At 43.1% G+C, this 4491-nt stretch overlaps 1 annotated feature.

Annotated features, from left to right (window-relative positions):
• Positions 204-806: an enhancer, noted in NCBI's record as "NANOG-H3K27ac-H3K4me1 hESC enhancer chrX:7510918-7511520 (GRCh37/hg19 assembly coordinates)". NCBI's record gives its function as "activates a minimal SCP1, AML or CMV promoter by ChIP-STARR-seq in primed H9 embryonic stem cells {active_cell/tissue: H9 hESC(primed)}" and the evidence as "EXISTENCE:reporter gene assay evidence [ECO:0000049][PMID:30033119]".

Genomic DNA, 4491 nt, shown 5'->3' with positions numbered 1-4491 from the left:
GTGATTTCTGCTTTTCCATCTGAGGTACCGGGTTCATCTCACTAGGGAGTGCCAGACAGTGGGCGCAGGCCAGTGGGTGCAGCGCACCGCGTGCGAGCGGAAGCAGGGCGAGGCAGTGCCTCACTTGGGAAGCGCAAGGGGTCAGGGAGTTCCCTTTCCAGGTCAAAGAAAGGGGTGACGGACGGCACCTGGAAAATCGGGTCATTCCCACCCGAACACTGCGCTTTTCCGACAGGCTTAAAAAACGGCGCACCACGAGATTATATCCTGCAACTGGCTCGGAGGGTCCTACGCCCACGGAGTCTCGCTGATTGCTAGCACAGCAGTCTGAGATCAAACTGCAAGGCGGCAGCGAGGCTGGGGGAGGGGCGCCCGCCATTGCCCAGGCTTGCTGAGGTAAACAAAGCAGCCGGGAAGCTCGAACTGGGTGGAGCCCACCACAGCTCAAGGAGGCCTGCCTGCCTCTGTAGGCTCCACCTCTGGGGGCAGGGCACAGACAAACAAAAAGACAGCAGCAACCTCTGCAGACTTAAATGTCCCTGTCTGGCAGCTTTGAAGAGAGCAGTGGTTCTCCCAGCAGGCAGCTGGAGATCTGAGAACGGGCAGACTGCCTCCTCAAGTGGGTCCCTGACCCCTGACCCCTGACCCCTGAGCAGCCTAACTGGGAGGCACCCCCCAGTAGGGGCAGACTGACACTTCACACGGCCGGGTACTCCTCTGAGACAAAACTTCCAGAGGAATGATCAGACAGCAGCATTCGCGGCTCACGAAAAGCTGCTGTTCTGCAAACACCAATGCGGATACCCAGGCAAACAAGTCTGGAGTGGACCTCTAGCAAACTCCAACAGACCTGCAGCTGAGGGTCCTGTCTGTTAGAAGGAAAACTAACAAACAGAAAGGACATCCACACCAAAAACCCATCTGTACATCACCATCATCAAAGACCAAAAGTAGATAAAACCACAAAGATGGGGAAAAAACAGAGCAGAAAAACTGGAAACTCTAAAAAGCAGAGTGCCTCTCCTCCTACAAAGGAACGCAGTTCCTCACCAGCAATGGAACAAAGCTGGATGGAGAATTACTTTGACGAGTTGAGAGAAGAAGGCTTCAGACGATCAAACTCCAAGCTACAAGAGGAAATTCAAATCAAAGGCAAAGAAGTTAAAAACTTTGAAAAAAATTTAGACGAATGTATAACTTGAATAACCAATACAGAGAAGTGCTTAAAGGAGCTGATGGAGCTCAAAGCCAAGGCTCGAGAACTATGTGAAGAATGCAGAAGCCTCAGGAGCCGATGCGATCAACTGGAAGAAAGGGTATCAGCGATGGAAGATGAAATGAATGAAATGAAGCGAGAAGGGAAGTTTAGAGAAAAAAGAATAAAAAGAAACGAACAAAGCCTCCAAGAAATATGGGACTATGTGAAAAGACCAAATCTACGTCTGATGGGTGTACCTGAAAGTGACGGGGAGAATGGAACCAAGTTGGAAAACACTCTGCAGGATATTATCCAGGAGAACTTCCCCAATCTAGCAAGGCAGGCCAACATTCAGATTCAGGAAATACAGAGAACGTGAGAAAGATACTCCTCGAGAAGAGCAACTCCAAGACACATAATTGTCAGATTCACCAAAGTTGAAATGAAGGAAAAAATGTTAAGGGCAGCCAGAGAGAAAGGTTGGGTTACCCACAAAGGGAAGCCCATCAGACTAACAGCGGATCTCTCAGCAGAAACTCTACAAGCCAGAAGAGAGTGGGGGCCAATATTCAACATTCTTAAAGAAAAGAATTTTCAACCCAGAATTTCATATCCAGCCAAACTAAGCTTCATAAGTGAAGGAGAAATAAAATACTTTACAGACAAGCAAATGCTGAGAGATTTTGTCACCACCAGGCCTGCCCTAAAAGAGCTCCTGAAGGAAGCACTAAACATGGAAAGGAACAACCGGTACCAGCCAATGCAAAATCACGCCAAAATGTAAAGACCATCGAGACTAGGAAGAAACTGCATCAACTAACGAGCAAAATAACCAGCTAACATCATAATGACAGGATCAAATTCACACATAACAATATTAACTTTAAATGTAAATGGACTAAATGCTCCAATTAAAAGACACAGACTGGCAAATTGGATAAAGAGTCAAGACCCATCAGTGTGCTGTATTCAGGAAACCCATCTCACATGCAGAGACACGCATAGGCTCAAAATAAAAGGATGGAGGAAGATCTACCAAGCAAATGGAAAACAAAAAAAGGCAGGGGTTGCAATCCTAGTCTCTGATAAAGCTGACTTTAAATCAACAAAGATCAAAAGAGACAAAGAAGGCCATTACATAATGGTAAAGGGATCAATTCAACAAGAAGAGCTAACTATCCTAAATATATATGCACCCAATACAGGAGCACCCAGATTCATAAAGCAAGTCCTGAGTGACCTACAAAGAGACTTAGACTCCCACACATTAATAATGGGAGACCTTAACACCCCACTGTCAACATTAGACAGATCAACGAGACAGAAAGTTAACAAGGATACCCAGGAATTGAACTCAACTCTGCACCAAGCGGACCTAATAGACATCTACAGAACTCTCCACCCCAAATCAACAGAATATACATTTTTTTAAGCACCACACCACACCTATTCCAAAGTTGACCACATAGTTGGAAGTAAAGCTCTCCTCAGCAAATGTAAAAGAACAGAAATTATAACAAACTATCTCTCAGACCACAGTGCAATCAAACTAGAACTCAGGATTAAGAAACTCACTCAAAACCGCTCAACTAAATGGAAACTGAACAACCTGCTCCTGAATGACTACTGGGTACATAAGGAAATGAAGGCAGAAATAAAGATGTTCTTTGAAACCAATGAGAACAAAGACACAACATAGCAGAATCTCTGGGACACATTCAAAGCAGTGTGTAGAGGGAAATTTATAGCACTAAATGCCCACAAGAGAAAGCAGGAAAGATCCAAAATTGACACCCTAACATCACAATTAAAAGAACTAGAAAAGCAAGAGCAAACTCATTCAAAAGCTAGCAGAAGGCAAGAAATAACTAAAAACAGAGCAGAACTGAAGGAAATAGAGACACAAAAAACCCTTCAAAAAATTAATGAATCCAGGAGCTGGTTTTTTGAAAGGATCAACAAAATTGATAGACCGCTAGCAAGACTAATAAAGAAAAAAAGAGAGAAGAATCAAATAGACTCAATAAAAAATGACAAAGGGGATATCACCACCGATCCCACAGAAATACAAACTACCATCAGAGATTACTACAAACACCTCTACGCAAATAAACTAGAAAATCTAGAAGAAATGGATAAATTCCTCGACACATACACTCTCCCAAGACTAAACCAGGAAGAAGTTGAATCTCTGAATAGACCAATAACAGGAGCTGAAATTGTGGCAATAATCAATAGCTTACCAACCAAAAAGAGTCCAGGACCAGATGGATTCACAGCTGAATTCTACCAGAGGTACAAGGAGGAACTGGTACCATTCCTTCTGAAACTATTCCAATCAATAGAAAAAGAGGGAATCCTCCCTAACTCATTTTATGAGGCCAGCATCATCCTGATACCAAAGCCGGGCAGAGACACAACCAAAAAAGAGAATTTTAGACCAATATCCTTGATGAACATTGATGCAAAAATCCTCAATAAAATACTGGCAAACCAAATCCAGCAGCACATCAAAAAGCTTATCCACCATGATCAAGTGGGCTTCATCCCTGGGATGCAAGGCTGGTTCAATATACGCAAATCAATAAATGTAATCCAGCATATAAACAGAACCAAAGACAAAAACCACATGATTATCTCAGTAGATGCAGAAAAGGCCTTTGACAAAATTCAACAACCCTTCATGCTAAGAACTCTCAATAAATTAGGTATTGATGGGACGTATCTCAAAATAATAAGAGCTATCTATGACAAACCCACAGCCAATATCATACTGAATGGGCAAAAACTGGAATCATTCCCTTTGAAAACCAGCACAAGACAGGGATGCCCTCTCTCACCACTCCTATTCAACATAGTGTTGGAAGTTCTGGCCAGGGCAATTAGGCAGGAGAAGGAAATAAAGGGTATTCAATTAGGAAAAGAGGAAGTCAAATTGTCCCTGTTTGCAGACGACATGATTGTATATCTAGAAAACCCCATTGTCTCAGCCCAAAATCTCCTTAAGCTGATAAGCAACTTCAGCAAAGTCTCAGGATACAAAATCAATGTACAAAAATCACAAGCATTCTTATACACCAATAACAGACAAACAGAGAGCCAAATCATGAGTGAACTCCCATTCACAATTGCTTCAAAGAGAATAAAATACCTAGGAATCCACCTTACAAGGGATGTGAAGGACCTCTTCAAGGAGAACTACAAACCACTGCTCAAGGAAATAAAAGAGGATACAAACAAATGGAAGAACATTCCATGCTCATGGGTAGGAAGAATCAATATCGTGAAAATGG

Source organism: Homo sapiens, chromosome X (genome assembly GCF_000001405.40).
Source record: "Homo sapiens chromosome X, GRCh38.p14 Primary Assembly".
Taxonomy (NCBI): domain Eukaryota; kingdom Metazoa; phylum Chordata; class Mammalia; order Primates; family Hominidae; genus Homo; species Homo sapiens.
This window is presented reverse-complemented; position numbering and strand designations above follow the sequence as displayed.